This window comes from Homo sapiens, chromosome 19 (genome assembly GCF_000001405.40).
Source record: "Homo sapiens chromosome 19, GRCh38.p14 Primary Assembly".
Lineage (NCBI taxonomy): Eukaryota > Metazoa > Chordata > Mammalia > Primates > Hominidae > Homo > Homo sapiens.
Window position 1 is genome coordinate 46,131,714 of NC_000019.10, and position 23,116 is coordinate 46,154,829.

Consider the following 23,116-nt stretch of genomic DNA (forward strand, 5'->3'; position numbering starts at 1 on the left):
AGATCACTTGAGGCCAGGAGTTTAAGACCAGCCTGGCTAATATGGTGAAACCCTGTCTCTACTAAAAATACAAAAGTTAGCCGGGCATGGTGGCCTATGCTTGTAGTCTCAGCTACTCGGGAGGCTGAAGTGGGAGAGTCGCTTGAACCCAGGAGGTGGAGGTTGCAGTGAGCCAATATTATGCTACTGCACTCCAGCCTGGGGAGCAGAGCGAGACTCCCTCTCAAACAACAACAACAAAAACAAAACTGTTCTTGGAGTTGTTTCTAAACAGAACTTGTCTCTAGTATTAACGTAGCAGAAATGTATATGATTTTACATTAGTATTAAAGATAAGAATATTCTTGGCCAACAGGAAATGGGTTAAAGCCTTGCAGAGGAGGGAAACAGTGAATTTTGTCATTCACTTAACCAGTTTTCACACACACACAGAGAAAGTCCAGAAGCCTGGCTGGTAAGAAATTCTTACCCTTTTGCTGGCATGCTACGGTTTTGGGTTCTCTTTTTCTGAGCAACTTTGGTGACCTTGCTCCCTGTGGCATAGCTGTGGGGGCCAAGCCACGTTACAAAAGAAAATGATCCCTTTCCATTTCATGGAACCATAGGCAAAAGTCTCTCCTTTTTACAAGAGGCCAACCAGTGGGTTGCATGGGAAAATAAGATATTGAATTAAATGCACAGAAAGAAAACAATTCATTGGGACATAAGTGACACAAACTTTGGTTCCACGTGCTGTCAGTTCTCTCCTTAAAAAGCCAGCACCCAAAGTTGATAGACTCACACACCCAAACAGACAGATGACAGAAAAGTCCACAGGCTTCCCCTCCTCACATGGTGTGGCAAAGAGAAAGTGAAGTGGTGAGGGGTTTTGAATAGAGTTACAGGATTGAGGGCCAGTATGACAGAGAAGGGGAGAGAGAAGGAGAGGAAGAGGGAGGGAAAACGATAGAGGGAGAGAGGGAGGGAGAGGGAGAGGAAAGAAGAAGAAAGGGAAGGAGGGAGAAAGGGAGGGAGAGGGAGAGGAAAGAAGAAGAAAGGGAAGGAGGGAGAAAGGGAGGGAGGGATGGATAGAATTGTTTCTTGGGACTGGAACCCAAACCAACTTAGGCCAGGGAAAAGGTACACTCTGTCCCACTGCCTGCTGAGTTGATCAGATCCAGGTAGTCAACGATTTCAACCTGTCCCTCACAGATATCTGTTCACGTGACCCAAACCACTAAGGATTAGGAGAGGAGAGACAAGGCACCCTAAGTGACAGAAAAGTTAGGAAGTGAAAAGGAGAGAAAGCAAGAAGGGAAGGGAGAAAAGCATTGCCTGCAGGAGGGATGGGGGAGGCAAGGAGGGCTGGCAGGCTGGAGAAAGACTCAACCAGCTTGGCGACACTGAATCAGAAGTTCAGGCAGCTGCTTGTCAGCCGTGAAGGGATCTTGTCCAGCAGTCCCATCAGCTCACAAGTCTCCCCCTCAGGGAGAGAAAGGCTCCCCACATCCCATTGTTGGGAATGGGTGCTCGGTGTCACAAAAATCAACACTGAGACAAAGGATCTCTCAGCAAGGCTAGTTTACTTTCTGCAGAAAGAGGGCCGCTTGCTAGCAGTCTTGCCATGAGAGCACACACGAACAAAGGAGACAGGGTCATTTATAACCTGATATGCCACCCTACTGCTGTGTCTGGCTTCCGTTGGCTGGAATGGGACCTCACATTCTGTACTTGACCTGATTGGCTAGCAACTTAGAACTTCCCCAAAGAGGCAAAGGCAGAGGAGAACAAAGGAAGACAGGAAGTAACTTGTGGAATGCTGAGAGAGGCAAAAGCACTTCCAAATAAGGAAGAGGAATAGGCTATGACCTAATGCTTGCTTGGGCCTGTTCAGGCATGCCAGGGCAAATATCTAGGCTAAAATGCGGTAGCTAAGAACGCAGAGTATATTGATTTCTTTATTATGGCTAGCAGATATTTAAGAATATTAGCACAGGTCTTTGAGTAAATTTTGCTTCTAAGAGAGGTTACTATCTATTCTCAATTAGACTGGGAGGAAAGTCCCTCTGAAGAGGAACCTCTACTTATTTTATTTTCTACACCATGATCCCAGGCAAGCCCCTAAATAATACATTACTGGTCTTGGGTTCTTGGGCTCTCAATGCAATAGAAACTGACATGAGGTCAAAATAGTTTTCCCAGACAAAACTTCATTGGAGATTATTCCTGGAAATAAGAGAGGCAGCACAAAAGAGAAAGAATTCCCTGATGACTCCCTGAAAAGAGCTGGTAGGGCTTTTTTTATTAGGCAAAGTGTGGGAATTGACATCAGGGGTAGGGTATGCAGGCTGGGCTGGGCAAAGCAGGAGAGGTATACGGTATGCAGGTCAGCAGTATCTGCTTAGGATGGTTTTCTTGAGGAAGAGACCACCTGGTGGTCTGGCCTGTGGCAGCAAGGCTGTGAATCAGTTGTTCAACATTCTTTCTGGAATCTTGGTTGTCTCCTAAGACCAGTTCTTGGGATTCTTTAAGTAAAAGGACTATTAGCAATGAGGTAGTGGCGTGGGTTTTGTGATCAGCAGGAATGTTGTAGTACAGCAGTCCCTAACCTTTTTGGCTCCAGGGACTGGTTTCCCAAGGAAGACAGTTTTTCCATGGACAAAGGAGGAGGGGGATAGTTTCAGGATGATTCAAGCACATTACATTAATTGTGGACTTTATGTCTATTATTGTTACATTGTAATATATAATGAAATAATATACATTATATATTACATATGCAACTCACCATACTGTAGAATCAGTGGGAGCCCTGAGCTTGTTCTTCTGCAGCTAGATGGTCTCATCTGGGAGTGACAGGAGACAGTGACAGATCATCAGACATTAGATTCTCATATTAGATAAGGAGTATTAGATTAGATAAGGAGTGTGCAACCTAAATACTTCACATGCACAGTTCACAATAGGGTTCATGCTCTTATGAGAATCTAATGCTCCTACTGATCTGACAGGAGGCTATGCTTAGGCAATAAGGTGAGTGATGGGGAGCAGCTGTAAATACAGATGAAGCTCCACCCACTAAGTCACTGCTTACTGCCTGCTATGCAGCCCAGTTCCTAAAAGCAGACACACTGGTACCAGTCCATGGCCTGTGGGTTGGGGACCCCTGCTCTAGTAGGGGTGAGATGAAGCCAAGCCCTGACTCTTCTCTGTCTCAAGGAGAGCCCTAGGTGCATAATACTGAGAAGAGGAGCAGCTCTGTAATTGCAGTTTTAGGCACAAGGAAGCATCATTGGGCATCCTGATTATCTCTTTAATGAATATTCACTGTCACTATCTTGATAATATCTGTAGGTATCATTTACAAAATTTTCTTAACTACTATCTTGAAATAATTTTAAACTTACAAAAAAGTTGTACAGTTGGTTTCTTTCTTTCACACAGATTCTCATAATGTTAACATCTTAAATGATCTTAATACAATTATTGAAAGCAAGAAATGAATATTGACTAACACTATTAATGAATCTACAGGCTTTATTTTAATTTTATCAGTTGTCCCCTCATGTCCACTTCCTGCTCCAGGATCCAATCCAGAATCCCACATTGCTTTTGATGATCATGTCTCCTTTGTGCCCTCCCAACTGGGATAGTGCTTTGTGTTTTCTTAGAGTCTGTATTTCTCTATTTGGTATCCATTAACTACAGGGTTTAACTCATGGTCAGAGTTGTTTGCATCTCCCCCGAGAGCCAGAACCCCTGCTCTGAACCATCCGAACCATCCCCTTTAGTGTAGGGGAGAGAAGAGGGTTAGATAAAAGGTTTCAGTCACTTCCTACAGGAACCTCACTGAAGTAGGACACAAGTTCGTGAGACCTTTGATCTGAGGTCCTTCAGTGAGGGAGGTAGGACCTCACTGATGCAAGAAACATGCTGGAGGAATAGCAAGTTGACCTCCATTCCAGTCTTCTGTGGCTGTGTAGATCTAGAACTAATTTCCACCTCAAAGGGAAGACTTTCCTGGACAGGCTTGCAGCCCTGAGTGGAAACATCCCACTGCCTTTGACTCCTGACTCCGTATCTCTTTTCCAGTAACAGTTGTGTAAATGTTTATTAGCTGACAATTATCTAACAATTCTTGGCTTCCAGACTTCACCCATGTCAACATTTTTCAAAGTGTGGCAGCAAACACTTTCTTTTCTTTAAGGATTCTGAATACAGGCCCTCAGTCTTTTCTGGCTTGTAGGGTTTCTGTTGAAAGGTCCACTGTTAGCCTAATGGGATTCCCTTTCCAGGAGACCTTCCCCTACTTTCTAGCTGCATTTAATATTTTTTCTTTATATTGACCTTGGAGAATCTGATGACTGTGTCTTGGGGATGGTCCTCATGTATAGTATCTCAGAGGAGTTATCTGAATTTCCCAGATTTGGATGTCAACCTCTCTAGCAAAGTTGGGGAAAGTTTCATGGACAGCATCCTCAAATGTGTTTTCCAGGTTGCTTGCCCTCTCTCCCTCTCCTTCAGGGATGCCAATATGTGGTAGGTTTGGTCTCTTTATATAGTCCCAGATTTCTTGGTGGTTTCATTCTTTTTTTAAGAAAATATTATGTCATGAAAAAACTCATCAATTAACTAGATTCATACTTGTTTGAACAAGAATTGAAAATCTATTAAATAGGCAGAATGTGGGCATCTTGTTCCACATGGGAATGAAAAGATGCTATAGGTTCTTTAAGAATTGCACAGTGTAAAAAAATAACAAGAAAGGAGAAGGAAAGGGGAAAAAATCACATGATATTGGGAGCCATCTCACATTATGAATAATCTACCAATAAACATGTAAAAAATAATACTCTTTGTTTCTGCAGTAGCTTTGAGTTTATAGTTCTTGGAATGACTGTATTCCATTGAAGACATCTCAGTAACAGGAGGCTGTTTTAGCAATCCCATGTGCAGATATTAATAAAAAAATATATAAAATAATGCAATTCATCTCTTGCCATCACCCCAGAAATCATGACATTTCTGAGAACTGTTTTGCTTGAAAATGGGTTAAGCTGTAAGTTTCGGCTGAAGCTCTGTCTCTCCAACCCGTTTGAGTGCAACATTCACTAGAAGCTGAAATCCACTAAAGTCCTGGTTGAGATCCATTGGAGTAGGGGGAGGAGTGTTGAAAAGACTACTCTGTGTATTGGTACTTGGTCTAGATTTACACATGTCCTCTGGGCACATGAGAGAGGTGTCTGTAAAGTTGTTGGCTGCTACCTGCTGTATATCTGTGTTTTGTCCCACACCAACTGACTGGCAGAGAAAGGGACATCTTTCAATGCAGTCACAGTGGCATGGCAGATCACTGATGGACGAGCCAAAACTGATCCTGGGGAAGACGGCTTAGGAGACAATGGCCTCCCTAGGGTTGGGTTTGGCCCAGATGTACAGGAATGAAATGGGGTCTCCTCTAGAGCTGGCATGAAGTTTTTGATGCCCATCACAAACTTCACAGAGCTTGTTTCAGAAATCTTGGGCCCACGGCAGGTAATTGTGAACTGATTTGGATCTTTGCCATCCTTTCTCAGCATGTCAGGATGCGTACACCACATGCAATATTATCTCCTTCGTAGGCTCATTTATCTGAGAAGCTTGTGGCGGGCGTTGATGAACCAGTTACAGACCTGTAGTGTAGACAGATATGTTTGCTGGGACAACAGTGCTTTTTCTTGCTCGGAAGGATGGACATTGTAATGGTGCTCATACAGCCAATCTTGAAGAATCTGCACAGACTCCTTGGGCAGGTTGCCCCTTCTCCTTCTCTTGCCTGAGCCAGAGGATGAAGGAAGGTCCAAGGGAATGTCCATGGAATCGTCATCCTCCGTCTCACTGCCAGATGCTGCAACAATACCTTTCATTGTTTCCATGAGTCAGTGCAGAGGAGCAGGACCCTGCGTGACCCAGGATGGGGACACCTATGCGGCCAGTGTGGCCCAGCCTTGGTCCCCGGCTTCAGGGAGAGGGTTTTCTTCATTTTAAAAAATGCTTTTTTAAATTTTTGTCTGACTGAGTTGATTCAAAGAACCAGTCTTTGAGCTCTGAGATCCTTTCCTCAGCTTGGTCTATTCTGTTGTGAATACTTCTGATTATATTATGAAGTTCTTGTAGTCAGTTTTTCACCTCTGTGAGATCTATTTGGTCCTTTCTTAAAATGGCTGTTTACTCTTTAAGCTCTTGAATCATTTTAGTAGATTCTTTAGATAACTTGGATTGAGTTTTGACTTTCTACTTAAATCTTGACTATCTTCATTGCCATGCAGCTTCTGAATTCTGTCTGTTATTTCAGCCATTTCGGTCTGGTTAAGAACCATTGCTGGGAAGCTAGTGCAGTCATTTGGCGGTGAGAAGACACTCTGGCTTTTAGAGTTGCCAGAGTTCTTGTGCTGGTTTTTTCTCATCTGTGTGGGCTGAAGTTGCTTTAATCTTTGAAGTTGCTGTCCTTTGGATGGGGCTTTTGGGTTTTACATTCTTTGATGCCCTTGAGGGTTTAACTATGGTATAAGTTGGGTTTAGTCAACTGGTTTCATTTCTGGATGATTTCATGGGGCCAAGGCTCAGCTCAGCACTTCTGGGCTGCATCGTCTAACCCTGGGGAGCTGGTACCAGGCCCATGGCTTTGTCCCCTGGATCTTCAGGGTTAAACACCTACTGCACTAGAGGGGCTAAGGTGTTCCCCATTTGCTAGCAACAACACTCCAACGTGGGGTGTTGACAAAAGTGCTTCATCTGGGTCACAGCAGTGGGATCTTCACTCACACATGTGCTGGTGGTGGGGGAGCATTGATGTCTGTGTGCATGTGCATGCTGGCAAAGTGTTGAGGGGAGGCTGTGGGTGAGTGCTTGCTGGCAAAGTGGTGAGAGGAGGCTTTGGCTGGGTGCATCCTGGTGGGACCTGTCTGCAAAGGCTCTCTGATAGTTGGACAGGGTCTACTGGTGAAAGGGCTAAGGCAGTGGCCCCTGGGAAGCACCTTAGTTTGGCAACTGAGGCTTTGCTGCAAACAGATGTGGCGGGTAGGGAACTTGGGAGAGGCCAGCACACTGAGAGGCACTCGTATCAGACTGGCCCCATCTCCTAGGCAAGATAGTCCTATTCTGTCCAGGTCTGACAGTCAAGAAAGGCCAAAGCCACCTAGAGGAGCAAGGTGAGCCTTGGAGAATGAGCATCCCTGTCCATGCTCCACTGCAGCTGTTTCCAAACCAGACTCTCTGGGCTCTACACAGGCTAGAGTCCTGTCCCTGCCAACTCTCCAAGCAGCTCTCTCTGCCAGCGCAAATGTCCATGGGGGCTGTGGGACCTTTTGCAGCTAGGATTCTGGAGGTCTCTGGCAAGAGTGGGCCACTCCATGCCTATTTAACTCCCCACTTCCCCAGGAGCTGTTCAGGGCCAGGAACAAGTCCTCATGCTCAGCAACCCTGTGCAGGGTTTCCAGCTTCCTCCCCTTGCAGCTGAGGGCCTGCCTCCCTCACTCCACTCTCAATGCCTTCCTTTCGAAGATCTGCTTGGTGTATGCTGGTCTTCTTGATGGTCAGTCCCTTGGTGGGAGAAGCTCTTCCTGGCTGCATCTAGTTGGCCATCTCAGCTCCTCTCCCCAATCAAAACCAATTTTTTTTTTTTAAAAACGAAATCATTCAAATTGAATTCTAAGATTTTAAGGCTGAATTTAAGAAAGAACCTCTATGCACATGTAAGAAATCTATGTTACATATGAGGTTCCAGAAATGTTAAAAATTAGTATGTAGAAAAGATACATCATGCAAACACTAGCAAAAGAAAATTACTGTAGCTAAGTGAATACCAAGGTAGGCTTTAATGCAAAAGATAAAGCTAGAGATAAAGCAGGACAAGTAATAATGACACAGGGATCAATCCAAATGGAACATATAATAATTATGAATCTGAATATACCTAATTACTTAGCTTGAAAAAAGTAACTAAAATAAAAGTGGAAATAAGCAAGTTCACAACTGTGGTGAAAGACTTTAATACACTTTTTGGGATAGCTTATGTAATAAGGAGAACAAAAAATCAGAATGGGCTAAAAATTTGAACAATACAACTAACACACATAACCAAACTTATATGTGTATATGTCTATATATATTTATATGTGTGTATGTATTTATATGTGTGTATATATTTATATGTGTATATGTATATATGTATATATAGTATGAGATACACATATATTTCACGCACTCACACACACACACACACATATATATTTTGAGACGGAGTTTCATTCTTGTTGCCCAGGCTGGAGTGCAGTGACATGATCTCAGCTCATTGCAACCTCCACCTCCTGGGTTCAAACGATTCTCCTGCCTCAGCCTCCTGAGTAGCTGGGATTACAGGTGTGCACCACCATGCTGGGCCAATTTTTGTATTTTTGGTAGAGACGGGGTTTCACCACGTTGGCCAGGTTGGTCTTGAACTGACCTCAGGTGATCCACACACCTCAGCCTCCGAAGTGCTGGAATTACAAGCATGAGCCACCACGCCCAGCCTATATATATATATATATATATATCTCAAAATGGTAGAACTTACATGTTTTTCAAGTCTACATAGAACATTTATGCTAAATTGATCATATGTTAGGTCATAAAGAAAGTCTCAGCTTCCAGAGGATGAACGTTATTAAAAGTAGGTTTTTGAGCTGGGCACAGCGGCACATGCCTGTAATCCCAAATACTCAGGAGGCTAAGGTGGGAGGATCACTTGAGCCAAAGAGTTCAAGTCTAACGTAGGCAACATAGCGAGACCTCATCTCTGAAGAAAATGTTCTCTGGGACTCCCAGTTTCTAGTCAAGCATGTAAGAGGCTTGGAACTCATCGCTCCATCTTAACAGAAAAAATACTGAACAAAGTAAAAAATTAACAACTCTTAGATAAGTGGGATCACAGAGCAAACTACTACCCTACGATTTGTTGACAGGCAGTTGGATACAGAGAATCAAAACTACTGCAACAGAAACCCATGACCAGAAACCCCTGTGGGAACCAGTACCAGGACAGGAAAACATGAAGTCTAATGAATGAATTCCTGGAGGCTCAGGGTGGAGCAGTCTGAGAGTTAAAAACTCCAGGGGGCCCAGTCTAAGGGGAGCCTCTGCACTTTTCTAAGAGTTTTACCTCCAGGAACCCTATCAGGTTCTCACAGTGAATATGGGAGAAAAATCTCCTTCATGGTCTGGCATGAAGTGGGAAGGGGGAAAGTAACCGCTGTGAAACACACCAGAGTATTCTGTTCTTCTTAACAAGCTCTGCCATTAAGAGAAAGCATTTTACCAGAATCTAAATTATTAGGGTTTTATCAGAGCCTAAGTGACCTGGAGGAAGAGAGTATTATTTTTATACAGGACAGTAAACAAGTATTCTTTGCTCTAAAGGGAAACCTTACCTCTATCTTCCAAGGCAGTTCACTACACAAACATCCTTGAAAAGAGTGTGGAACAAAAGAACAGTCAATGCCTCACTGCCAGGCCAGCAAAAATGCAAGAGATCCATGGGAAATTGTCTCTGACACCAACAAACCAATATTTTTGCAAAGTAAATAAACACATGAGCAAGGTGATAATAGTGTGCCGGAAAACGCTGCCCTGCTGCAGTGGTGACTGTGATAGTCCCGGGTGTCTGGGAAGACACGCCAGGATCACAGAGTGGGGCCTGGTTTTAGAAGAATGCAAATCTGGTCATGAGTTTCACTGCTTAAAATTATTGAACGACTCCCCACCATGTCTAGGATGGAACCCAGGCTCCCAGCTCATCCCACAAGGCCCTTCACTACCTGGGCCTGCCTTTCCCTCTAGCACCTTCTCCACCTACACCCATGGTGGCCCTCTGTCATCCAGCTGAACAGCCACTCCTAGAAACACCCAAAACAGGCTTCAACAACATGACTCACCTACCAGCACCTGCTTGAAGCCCTCCTCACAGTAACTCTTAGTTCCCTTCAGGGTTTCTCCTTCTCCCCATCTTCCCACCCTGCTTCCAACTTCCCTCACTGATAGAGAATTAAGCACTCACTCTATGCATCCCACAGGACTCATGCTTACCTCTGTCACTGTCTTGCCATTGGTCAGTCTCCTGGGTATTTGCCCAACCCGAATTCACCCTAAATTATCAAAGATATGCATGCAAAGAACAAAACTTCTGTTTTTGAAAGTTACAAATAAAGTATCCTTCTCCTCCTTTTACCTCACCCCTCCCTTGCTCATTTGCTCTCCTCAGAGATCAGTGCTGTTAGCAGATTCTGGCTTCAGTACCTTTGAAGTTTCCAATAATACTCTCATAATTCTCTCTCATGACTTTAGGGACCCAGGTACACCATTACCAGTTGTGGAATTCTAAAAATTTACTTAACCTCTCTGAGCTACAGTTTCCTCTTTAAGCACAATGAAATAATGACTTACAAGCATCCAATAACATAAATGTGTGTATAAAGTTCATGTAAACTGGGACCCCACACACACCCCTTATCATGCCAAGTGAATCCATCTTGGGAAGTATGTTGGATGGAAAATTTTCAGAATGTAGAAACTTGCATTCTATTATTTTAAGTGACAAAAATAATAATGTTCCTAGCCCAGTTAATACCACCAGGTAATTTCCTCAAACATTACAAAAATACTCTTAAAAAGCTTTCTAGCAGTCTATCCAGGGTTTCTACGTGAAATATAGCATTGAGAAGAGTTATTCTTTGTTAACATTTACTCACTGGTGAGTATGGGTATCTGAAGTAAGAAATACGTTGCGTAATATCTGAATCAAATTATCTATTCCTTCTGCAATGAAAAAACAATGCACTGTGATGTAATATAAATATACAAGTATGTTATCTATCTATGTTTAAATTATTATATGAAAGAGACTATTTAAATTGGACTTTAGTAGGCAGCACGACTGGTGGCTGACAGATATTATTACTGGGACCCATGCTGGGTGAAACCCTCTGGAAAATGGTAGGGAAGATGAGAGATACTGCTCTGTATGTACAGACAAGCCCAGAGAGCTGCTGACATTGGCTAATTGCACTCTGCATCCTTTTGCGTGTACTTCTGCCAATTTAAAAGCTTCCACTGGCTTCTACATGCACATTATAACAGCTTTTGATACAGATAATCTCATTTAGCTTATCACTGTCAAGCCTTCACAGCAAATATTGTTATAGTGTAAGTTTATATAGTGAAGAATACCTGTACATTACAAAATGAGAGAAAATTTCATTTAACTCCTATAAATGCACTGGCTCTGTGAGGTTGCTGGGTGGAAATGCAGGGGTTGACTGTTACATGTTACTGCAATTGATGTTTGAACAACACAGGCTTGAACTATGCAGGTCCATTTGTATTTTCTTCCACCTCTGCCACCCCTGAGACAGCAAGACCAATGCTTCTTCTTCCTCATCACCCTCATCAGTGTGAAGACAAGGATGAAGACCTTTATGATGATCCACTTCCACTGAACACATAGTAAATATATTTTCTCTTTCTCGTGATTCTTAATAACGTGTTCTTTTCTCTATTTTACTTTATTGTAAGAATGTAGTGTATAACACATAGAATATACAAACTATGTATTAATTTACTGTTTATGTTATCAGTAAGGCTGCCCATCAACAGTAGGCTATTTGTAGTTACGTTTTTTGTTTTCTTCTTCTTCTTTTTTTTTTTTTTTGAGACAAGAGTCTCACTCTGTTACCTAGGATGGAGTGCAGTGGTGCAATCATGGCTCGCTCCAGCCTTGAATTCCTGGGCTCAAGCAATCCTCCTGCTTCAGCCTCCCAAAGTACTGGGACTATAGGTGTGAGCCACCAGGCCCAGCCAGTAGTTACATTTTCAGGAAATCAAAAATTACATGCAGATTTTCAACTGCCCAAGGGTGTCAGCACCCCAATCCACACATTGTTCAAGAGTCAACTGTATTATCAGATGGTATTGTTGGTAATAACAATAGCTCACATTTATAAACCCCTTCCCATTTGCCAGGCACTATAGATATTGTCTCTGCTCAAACCCCCTCCAAGGGCTTCCCTGTGGCTCAGAGAAAATCAAGATTGTGCACAGTGGCCTACTGAGCTATATAAACAGGCCCTTGGTCTACTGTGACCCATCACTTGCCACTTCACATTCCCTCACTCAGACCCAACACGTGGCCTCTGTTATTTGTTGAATGCCCCATGCAGGCAACCCCAACTGGGGCTACAGCCTTAGGGGATTCTTCCAGTAACCTGTGGGCCCACCTCTCACCTCTGTCAGGCCTCTGCTCAGAAAATAACTCATCACAGAGGCCTTCCCTGACCACCTTCACTTAGCATTGTTTACAGCAGCGGTTGGCATACTTTTTATGTAAAGAGTCAGGCTTTGCAAAACATAAGTCTCTTCTGCAACCACTCAGTTCTGCCATTGTAGTGAAGAAGCATGAAGACAATACATGAATGAATGAGTGAATATGGCTGTGTTCCAGTAAAACCTTATTTATGGATACTGAAATGCCAACTTCATATAATTCATATAATTTCATATATTTTAAATGTGTCATGAAATGTTACTCCTCTTTTGATCTTTTTGACCATTGATACAACACAATTATTCTTAGCTTCTGGCAGTCGACCCTCAAGTCATGACTTGCTGATACCTGTCCACGTAATTCTCTATCTCCTAAACTCCTTTGTTATTTTTTCCATGGCATACATCATTGGTTGATATCGTATCATATCGTATCATATCATACCATATCTCATATCATATCATATCAAATATACTTACTCGATGTTTATTTTCTGTGTCTTCTAAACAAAATTAAACCCCTTATTTTGCTCACTGCTATATTCTTTGCAGCTAGAACAGCACTTAGTATAAAATATGTATTCAAAATTATTTCTGAATAAATAAGTGAATACAAAGGTCAGTTTCCACACCCTGATTTTATTTTATTTAAAAACATACAGTAAGTTGACTGTTTTCTATGCACAACTTAATGGATTTAAACACAGGTATAGATTCATGTAGTCACGATCAAAATCAGGTTACAGAACAGTTCCATCACCCCAAACCCAACCCCAACCCCTGGCATTCACTCTTTCCTATAGTTTTGCCTTTCCTGAGTGTCACAGGAAAGGCTAAGTTGATTCTTACCTATGTAATTGTTGAGACCAACTTCTTGTATCTGACACGGTGCCTTTGAGATCTTGCCAAGTCATGGTGTATGTAAATAGTTCCTTGTCTTTTTATTGCTCAAAAGTTTCCATTGTGTGTGTGTACCACGGTGTGTCTCCCATTTCCCCTGTTGATAGATATTTGAGTTGTTTCCACTTTTTTGCTATTACAAGTAAAATACTATGAACGATTGTGCTTTTTTGGTGGGAACATAAGTTTCATTTCTCTGGGATAAATACACAGGAGTGTGAATGATGGGTTGTATGGTAAATGTATAATTTTATAAAAACAGCCAAAATGTTTTTCGGGGTTATATATATATACCATTTTCATTTCCATCAGTAAAATATGAGAAATTCAGTGTCTTTACTTGCTTGTTAGCACTTGGTATTGTCGATATTCTCTCTCTCTCTCTTTCATATATGTTTGTGTATAATTTCATAATATCTAAATACACATACTCCGGCACTTTTTCACTTACACCCCCAGTGGCCCTCCCTCGTCCAGTCCAACACAGTCAATCCTTGCAACACCCCAAACAGGTTTCCACACGTGACTTACCTACCAGTGAGTGACCCACTCACCAGATTAAAGCCCTCCTTCCAGTAACTCTTAGTTCCTTTCAGGGTTTCTTCTCTCCACCTTCCCATCTTGCTTCCAGCTTCCCTCACTGGTAGAGAATTAAGGACACACTCATATATATGTGTGTGTGTGTGTGTGTGTGTGTGTGTGTGTGTATTTATTTATTTATTTATTTAATATATATATTTAAATTTTGCCAATTCTAGTAGATGGGAGATAGTATCTCACTGGTTTTAATTTGTAGTTCCAGTATGGCTAATGGTGTTGAACAACTTTTCATGTGCTTATTTGCTATCTGTATGTCCTCTTTTGTAAAGCATCTGTTCAGATATTTTGCCGATGCTTAATGATTTTGTTTGTTGTTTCACTTTGAGTTTTGAGAGTTTTTCATATACTCTGGATTCAAGTCCTATGTTAGAGATGTGATTCACAGACACTTTCTGCAGTTGGTAGCCTGTCTGTTGCTTCACTTAACAATTTGTTCATCAAGTTTAACTTTAAAATTTTGATAAGTCCAATCTGTTTTTAAAAAATGGATAATGCTTTTGATGTCTTTTCCCAGATATAAATGTTTTCTCTGATGCCTTCTCCTTGAAATACGTAGTTTTACTTTTCATATCTAGACCATTTGGAGTTAACTTTTGTATAGAGTGTGAGCTTTGGTAGAAGTCTTCTTTTTTTTTTTCATATGCATGCCCATTGTCTCACACCATTTGTTGAAATGACTATCTTTTCCCCCATTGAATTGCCTTTACATCTTTGCCAAAAGACAATTTACTATATTTGTTTGGGTTTATTTCTGGAACCTATTCTGTTCCTTTGATCTATGTGTCTATCCATGTCTATCCATTTGCCAATACTACACTGTTGTCATTACTGTAGCTTGAGTAATTGTGAAATTGGATAGTGTGAGTCCTCTACCATCTTTCCTCATCCAAAATTGTGTTGGCCATTCTAGTTTCCATTGCTTTTCTATATAAATTCTAGAGTTATTTTGTTTCTCTCTCAGACAAATCCTGCTTGGGTTTGATTGGAATTGTGTTAAATCTGTAGATAATTTGGAAAGAATTGGCATCTTACCTAAATTACAGATTCCAAACCACGACATGATATACCACTCTGTATTTAAGGTTTCCTTGAATACTTTAATCGTACACATCCTTTATATGTTCTCCTAGATTTACAGTATACCAGTTCAGTTTTTGGGGAGGGGGGTATTGTAAATGGCATTTTTTTTCTTTAAATTATTGTATCCACTAGTTCTTGCCAGTATAAAGGAATACAATTGACTTCTGTGTGTTTCATACGCTACAACCTTTCTAAATTCACTTATCAGGTCCAGAACTCTTCTACTAACAATGCACTTTTATAAAGCCCTAACACCTCTCCTGATCTCTGTCTCACCCTCCCACCTATCTCACTGTGGGATGGGAAGGAAGTCAATGGAAAACACAGGAGCGCATTCTAATAATAGCCCACATGGTATCCAGTGACACAAATAATAGTGATGGTGACAATAAAATAACAGTAAGAAACACAGAAGGAGCGTTTCCTTGGACAAAGCACTCCAGAAACAACAACAAAAAGGGGCTGCCTTTCCATCTATTCTATGAATCCCAGATGTCTATTTTATCACTGTCTGTTCCTTTTCTGTTCTCCCTGGCAGGGTTTTTACAGCCCCTGCTCTTTTTCTAGATTATGCTGCATCTTCACAGTTTCCCCTAAATGACTCTGAAGAATTATAGACAGTGCTGTCTACAATTATAATAATGGATATGGTGGTCCATTTCCAAGACAAAGTACCTCAGATAGGCTGAGGCCCACAAACTATGGAAGGACAGAATATACTAGGCCCATAGCTGGTGCATGCTTGTCGGGGTCCCCTTAGTTACCCTCTCCCAAACCAGAGTTTAGTCTAGAATGAAAGTTTACTAGCCAGCAAAATAGCTCACTTTATCTATTCTTATCAGCTTGCCTGACTGCCTAGGTCATAAGTCAAATACTTGAAAAGCCCTCGAGCTGGCTTTGATTGCAATGTATTATAGGCTGCAACAAAATGCAGTGAGACAATCCTAAAGAAAACACCTAAAAGCCTCAACCCAGCAACCAATAGGCGACGTCTGGGAAGATCGTGACCCCATCGTACTTAGCCTACGAGGAACCAGGGGAGAGACTTGTGCACTAGGGGATAAATAGCTTGTTGTAACCGTACTGGGTGTGCCTGCCTACCAGACATTCAATCTTGCAAGACCATCATTAAAAGTCTTGCTTCCACTGTTTTCTGTGTCTCTGAGTCCATTCTTTGGGTTTGGACGGGTGCGTTTGTTTCTCATAGTGCAGGTCTGGAGCCGGACTGAGATGGGGAGTAGAGGGACCCCTTGAAACTTCAGGGTGGATGAATATGAAGTTTCATCACCAGCTGTGATGTTTGGTGAGTAGTATGCTCTCAGATAAGTGAGAGCCAAGGAATCTCTTTCAAGTCTCTTTGCCGTGGGCAGAGTTCAAAGAATGACACTCACTCACGGCTTTGAAAGGTTCTAGGGAAGCCTTTACTCTGAGATTTCGAGAGGTCTGAGAAGGTAGCAGTCACTTGGAACAGGTCCAGGAACATCTTACTAAGCTGTTGATGCAGTTTTTTCTTATGCTTTCTGTGGCTTCTCATGCCCCACCCTTTCCAAGAGGCCAGTGCTTCTGGGCACCTCCCTAAATGTGGATAAGTTCATAGCCTACATAAGTCCCTGTATAAAGTCACTGACCCATTTGCACTGCTGCTGTCCCATCAGCTGCTCTGAAGCTCCATGGTGCCCAGAATCTTCGGTAAGGTAACCCTTGCCCCAGGTTGAGCTAATGCCTACTGTTATCCCTAATGTACCTCTGAACCTCAAACTTAATTCTCTCTTCCCTATTTAATTCTTGGTTTCCCACCTCATAATCACCCGTGTCCTCTCTGACTGCATTGCAATCTCTCTTCCCCACCTGCAAATTCCAGAAGCTTAACCCTTTCCAGAGCCCTCCCTGCATTTCCTCACCTGCCAAGCCCAATGCCCAGAACCTGCACACAGAGTCAGTCCCAAAATCTGCTCTGAGCTGTTACAGCAACCAAAGAAACTCAGAGACATCATCTTGTGCCCCATGATCATGATCTGGTGACCCCAGAATCACTGTCATTCTTCTCTCAGCTGATCTTTATTTTTGAACTCCTGGGCTCAGACTCAGAAGGGACCATAGGTGAGAATGGGTGTGGTGAGTGGAGGGAGAAGAAAGGAGGGAGGATTATAGCACTGTGGATAGGGTTGGGGGCTCCCAGAGGTCCCCTGCCAGCTCATCAGCTCTGACTCTTCCAGATATTGGACTGTGGTTGTGCCAGTTGACACTCAGGAGTGGAGACTAGATCTGCAATCTGTTGGGACTGTGATGAGGGGATCATCCTGCCCTCGAACCAGACCCAGCCCTGTAGCCCAGGCACTATTGCCTGGAGTTCCTGGGCTCTCAGCGCCAGGAAATCATGAGGTTCAGTGTCTCAGGCATGAGGACCGACTACCCCAGGAGTGTGCTGGGTAAGTAAGGGCAGCCCAGGCAGTGGACTGAGTTTTGTTGTGTGTATTCCATCAAGATGAGCAATGCCTGCTGTGTTCACTAACTTCTTTTTGGGCAACCATCTCTCTCTCTCCCTCTCTCTCTTCTCTCTCTCTCTCTTCTCTCTCTCTTTCTCTCTCCCTCTCTTTCTCTCTCCCTCTCTTTTCTCTCTCTCCCTTTTCTCTCTCTCTCTCTTTCTCTTTCCCACTCACCCCTCACCCTTTCCACCTCTCCCCCTCTTCCCCTCTCCCCCTCCCCCTCCCCTCCCCATCTCCCTGTGTCCCTCTGTCTCACATCCCCCTCTCTTCTCTTCCCCTCTCCCCTCCCTGTCTTTTCCCTCCTCTCCTTCCTTCTCTTCCTTCCTCTCTCAAGTTGAAGGAAGAGTAGCTCAGTCATCTTCCAGAATTGCTTTTTACCTCCGAGTCACCTGGCTCCATAGCCCCCGACCACCGCATGCCCATTTAGCTGTTCCTCTCTTTCCCCTCTACCCTCACCCTTGGCAACCACCAGTCAGCTTTCTGTCTCTATGGATTTACCTATCTGGGACATTTCATATAAATGGAATCACACCATTTATAAGTGACCTTTCGTGTAACTTTTTTTTTAACTTAATGTTTTCAAGGCATATCCCCATTATAGAATTTATTAGTACTTCATTCCTTTTTACAACTGAATAAATTCAATTGTATCCATGTATCAGCATTCATTTATCCATTCATCTGTTGATGGACACTTGGGCTGTTTCCACCATTTGGCTATTGTGAATAGTGCTGTTACAAACATATGTATACATGTATTTGCTTGAGAACCTGTTTTCAGTTATCTTGGGTGTACACATAGGAGTGGAATTGCTACGCCACATGGTAATTCTGTTTAACTTTTTGAGGAATTGGCAAACTGTTTTCCACAGAGCTGCATCAATTACATTCCCACCAGCAGTGTATGAGGGCTCACATTTCTCTCCAGATTCTTCAACCTTTGTTATTTTCTATTTTCCTGTTTATTACAGTCATCTGGGTGGGTGGGTGTGATATCCTGTGTAGTTTTAATTTGCGTTTCCTTGGTAAATAACAATGCTGAGTGTCTTTTCCATGTGCTTATTGGCCATTTGTATTCCTTTTTGAGAAAAGGTTTATTCAGATTTTTCCATGTTTAAATTGGGTTATTTATTTTATTATTATTTAGTTGTAAGAGTTTTAGAAGATATGCTGGATACTCATCCCTTATCATATATATAATTTGCAAATACTTTCCTCATTATGTGGATTGTGTTCATTTCCTTGATGCTATTGCTTGCAGTGCATAGGTTTTTAATTTTTGATGAAGTCTATTCTTTCTTTTCTCTCTTGTGCTTTTGGTGTAATATCTAAGAAAATATTACCTAACTCGAGGTCATTAAGACTTACTTGTATGTTTTCTGCTAGGAATCTTTTTAAGAAGTTGACAAAGAATAATTGTGTATATTTATGGGGTAAAATATGATGATTTAATGTATGTTTGCCTTGTTAAATGATAAATCAAATTAATTACCATATCTACCACCTAATATACTTATTACTTTTTGTCACTAGAACATTTAAAATATACTCTTCAGCAATTTTGAAATATACAACACACCATTTGTTTTTTTAAGAGGCAGGGTCTCACTCTGATGCCCAGTCTGGAGTGCAGTGGTGTGATCACAGCTCACTGCACCCTCTACCTCTGAGGCTCAAGTGATCCTTCCACCTCAGCTCCCAAGTAGCTGAGACCACAGGCACGCACCACCACACCATGCTAATTTTGTTTTTCATAGAGACGATGTCTCACTGTGTTGCCCAGGCCGGTCTCCAACTTGTAGGCTCAAGCAACCCTCCTCCTTGGCCTCCCAAAGTGCTGGGATTGCAGGTATGAGCCATCACGTCCAGCCCACAATACACTATTATTTATTATAGTCACCGTGCCCTGCAGTGGATCTCTAAAACCTATCTTTCCTGTCTAACTGTAACTTCATATCATTTGCTTATCTCCCTGTTGCCCATCTGCCCACACCAATCCTCTGGTAACTGCCCTTCTCTCTACTTCTATGAGTTCAACTCTTTTAGATTCTACATACAAGTGAGATGGTGTGGTATTTGTCTTTCTGTGGGTTGCTTATTTTACATTTCTGCTAAGAGTTTTATATGTTCGCTCTTGTATTTAGGTCTGTGATACATTTTGAGTTAATCCTTGTGTATGGTATGAGGAAGAGATCCTCTTTCTGCCCACTCTTTTGTGTATGAATATACAGTTTTCCCAGCACCATTTGTTGAAAAATCATTTGTTCCCTTACTTCATAGTCCTAGCACTTTTGTTGAAATTTGATTTCAACAAATCTAAGGGTTTATTTTCTGACTGTTAGTTTTATTCATTGATCTATATGTCTATCCTGTGTGTCAGCTCCTACACTGTCACTATAGCTTTGTGGTAAGCTTTGAAATCATGAAGTATCAATTCTACAATTTTGTTCTTTTTCAAGATCGTTTTAGTTATTCTCGGTCCTTTATGTTTCAATATGAGTTTTAGGATCAACTGATTAATTTCTTCAGAGAAGGCTGGGTCCTGTGGCTCATGCCTGTAATCCCAGCACTTTTGGAGGCCAAGGAAGGTGGATGGCTTGATCTCAGGCGTTAAGAGACCAGCCTGGGCCATATGGTGAGACCACATCTCTACCAAAAAATGCAAAAAATTAGCCAGGCATGCGGTGTGCGTCTGTAGTCCCAGCTACTTGGGAGGCTGAGGTGGGAGGATCACTTAAGCCTGTGAGGCGGAGGTTGCAGTGAGTCATGATCACGCCACTGCACTCCAGCCTGGGTGACAGAGTGACACTTGATCTCACAAAAGTTCTTTGATATGGATTGCATTGATTCTATAGATCAATTTGGGATTTTTGGCACCTGAACAATATTAAGTCTTCCAATTTGCGAACATGGATGTATTTCCATTTATTTACATATTCTTAATTCTTTTCAACAATGTTTTGTTGTTTTTAATGCACAAATCTTGCACCTCTTCTGTTCAATTTATTCATAAGTATTTTATTCTCTTTGGTACGTGGAATTATATTCCTAATTTCATATTTAGATGGTTTTTTACTAGTGTATACAATTGCTTTTTATATGTTGATCTCTTTTATCTTACAATCCTGTTGAATTTTTCTATTAGTCTTTAGGTCATAGTAGCTTCCTTAGGTTTTTTTTTTTTTTTCTTTTTCTTTTTTGAGACAGAATCTCACTCTATCATGCAGGGTGGCGTGCAGTGGTGTGATCATAGCTCAATGCAGCTTCGAACTCCTGGGCTCAAGTAATCCTCCTGCCTCAGCTTCCTGAGCAGCTAGAACTACAGGCATGTGCCACCATCCCTGGCTAATTTTTTTATGTTTTTATTTTTATACAGATGGGGTCTCGCTATGTTGACCAAGCTGGTTTCAAACTTCTGACCTCAAGTGATCCTCCCCACTTGGTCTCCCAAAATGCTGGGATTACAGGAGTGAGCCACTGTGCCTAGTCCTTAGGATTTTTAACATACAAAATCATGTCATTTGCAAATAGAAATCATTTTACTTTATCTTTCTCAGTCTAAATTCATTTTATCTTCTTGCCTAACTTTCATGGCTTGAACCGCCAATGCTATCTTGAATAGAGTGGTAAGAGTGGATATACTTGTCTTGTCCCTGATATTAGGGGGAAAGTATTCAATCTTTCACAATTAAGTATGATGTTAGCTATGAGTTTATTGTAGATGCTCTTTAACAGGTTGAGGAAACTCTCTTCTATTCCTAGTTTGTTCTTTGTATTTTATCATGAAAGAGTGTAGATTTTGTCAAATGCTCTTTCAGTATCATTTGAGAGAATTACGTGTCTCCCTCCTATAGTCTAGTAAGGTGGTGTATTATATTAATTGATTTTCATATGTTGAACCAACTTTGCATCCGTGGGATAAATCCACTTGGTCATGGCGTATCGTTCTTTATATATGCTGCTGGATTTGGTTTGCTATGTTTTGTTGAGGATTTTTGAACTTATATTCATAAGAGATGTTGGTCTGTAGTTTTTTTTCCTTGTGATGTCTTTGTCTGGTTTCGGTATCAGGGTAATACAGGCCTCAGAATAGACTGGAAAGTTGTGTTTGGTTTTTTTGAAAAGTTTGTGAATGATTGGTATTAAGCCTTCTTTAATTGTTTTGTAAAATTCACCATCTGGGTCTGGATGGGCATTTCCCGTGTATGGGTATTCCCCTTTCTCTGCATCCTTGCCAGCATCTGTTATTTCTTGTCTTTTTGATAAAAGCCATTTTAACTGAGATGAGGTATCTTATTGTGGTTTTGATTTGCATTTCCCTAATGTAAGTAATGTTGAACATTTTTTCATATACTTTTTTCATATACTTGAGTGTTTGTATGTCTTCTTTTGAGAACTAGGTATTCAGATCTTTTGCCCCTTTTAAAATCAGATTCTTTATTTTTCCCAGCAATACAATTATGTACATATTGTTTTATGCCATTACTTTTAAGACCAGTTAAGAGAAGAAAGGATAAGAAATAAGCAATTATACTGTTTTAATAAGTAGTTACAAGTTATATAATTGCTTATATAATTACACAATTCTATTTTATTAGTGCTCTCCAGAGGGTGCAGCCTTGGGCATGAGTGCTGGATCGCTAACTACTCCAGATAATTATGGTTTTAGCTGGGTTCTTTTTTTGGGGTAGCTTTTGCCTTTTTATTACAAATTATATATGTGTATATATATATATATATATATATTTTTTTTACTTTAAGTTCTGGGATTCATGTGCTGAACATGCAGGTTTGTTACATGTGCCATGGTGGTTTGTTTCACCTATCAACCCGTCATCTAGGTTTTAAGCCCCGCATGCATTAGGTATTTGTCCTAATGTGCTGCTTCCCTTTTCCCCCAAGACCCTGACAGGCCCCTGGGTGTGATGTTCCCCTCCCTGTGTCCATGTGTTCTCACAGTTCAACTCTCACTTCTGAGTGAGAACATGTGTTGTTTGGTTTTCTGTTCCTGTGTTAGTTTGCTGAGGATGATGGTTTCCAGCTTCATCCATGTCCCTGCAAAGGACAGGAACTCATTCTTTTTTTACTATTTTTTCCTGATGTTTCTGTTAAGCTTCTGGCCCGTCTGCCTCTGTTGGTATCACTTGCATCTGTTAGACTCCTCTAATTGTTAATTGATTGCTCTTTTCTTTTTAATAGGCCTGTGGGCTGCTTAATGTCTAACCCTTTTGCCAAGACAAAGTGTTGCCAGGGTTTGAGGCTGTCTCTGACCCCAGGAGGAGGGCCCTTCTTAGTTATCTCTTTTTCTGATTTTCTCTGTTAAGCTTCTGCCTGGATTTTTGGGTTTTGTTTTGTTTTGTTTTGTTTTTGACGGAGTCTCGCTCTGTCGCCCAGGCTGGAGTGCAGTGGCGCGATCTCAGCTCACTGCAAGCTCTGCCTCCTGGGTTCACGCCATTCTCCTGCCTCAGCCTCCCAAGTAGCTGGAACTACAGGCACCCACCACCACGCCTGGCTAATTTTTTTGTATTTTTTTTTTAGTAGAGACGGGGTTTCACTGTGCTTGCCAGGATGGTCTGGATCTCCTGACCTCGTCATCTGCCCGCCTCAGCCTCCCAAAGTGCTGGGATTACAGGCGTGAGCCACTGCGCCCAGCTGGTCTTTTTGTTTCTTGTTACTACTGTCATGGAATTACCACCCTCTTCTTGGTTTTTTAGCACCAGAATTTCAGATATTTT

At 41.8% G+C, this 23,116-nt stretch overlaps 1 protein-coding gene and 1 pseudogene across 25 annotated transcripts in view, besides 3 other annotated features; one reads left to right on the plus strand and one right to left on the minus strand.

The window, feature by feature from the left end:
* Positions 1-23,116, plus strand: part of IGFL2 (IGF like family member 2) — a 136,850-nt gene that overhangs the window by 53,201 nt on the left and 60,533 nt on the right. The window contains exons 3-5 of one of the 25 annotated variants that reach the window (XM_047438228.1): positions 11,352-11,499; positions 16,103-16,198; positions 17,112-17,324. The exons of 19 other annotated variants lie outside the window; for them this stretch is intronic. In XM_047438228.1, coding sequence (XP_047294184.1) covers positions 17,273-17,324 — 52 coding nt within the window. In that variant the 5' untranslated portion in view covers positions 11,352-11,499; positions 16,103-16,198; positions 17,112-17,272. Of the gene's footprint in view, positions 1-11,351; positions 11,500-16,068; positions 16,199-16,524; positions 16,585-17,111; positions 17,325-23,116 lie in introns of those variants that run through there. 5 more of the 25 variants (XM_024451381.2, NM_001002915.3, XM_047438227.1 and 2 more) reach the window with 5 other exon arrangements.
* Positions 1,095-1,926: an enhancer, noted in NCBI's record as "NANOG-H3K27ac-H3K4me1 hESC enhancer chr19:46636065-46636896 (GRCh37/hg19 assembly coordinates)". NCBI's record gives its function as "activates a minimal SCP1, AML or CMV promoter by ChIP-STARR-seq in naive H9 embryonic stem cells {active_cell/tissue: H9 hESC(naive)}" and the evidence as "EXISTENCE:reporter gene assay evidence [ECO:0000049][PMID:30033119]".
* Positions 1,927-2,758: an enhancer, noted in NCBI's record as "NANOG-H3K27ac hESC enhancer chr19:46636897-46637728 (GRCh37/hg19 assembly coordinates)". NCBI's record gives its function as "activates a minimal SCP1, AML or CMV promoter by ChIP-STARR-seq in naive H9 embryonic stem cells {active_cell/tissue: H9 hESC(naive)}" and the evidence as "EXISTENCE:reporter gene assay evidence [ECO:0000049][PMID:30033119]".
* Positions 2,759-3,589: an enhancer, noted in NCBI's record as "H3K27ac hESC enhancer chr19:46637729-46638559 (GRCh37/hg19 assembly coordinates)". NCBI's record gives its function as "activates a minimal SCP1, AML or CMV promoter by ChIP-STARR-seq in primed H9 embryonic stem cells {active_cell/tissue: H9 hESC(primed)}" and the evidence as "EXISTENCE:reporter gene assay evidence [ECO:0000049][PMID:30033119]".
* On the minus strand, positions 4,569-5,884 carry TGIF1P1 (TGFB induced factor homeobox 1 pseudogene 1; annotated as a pseudogene).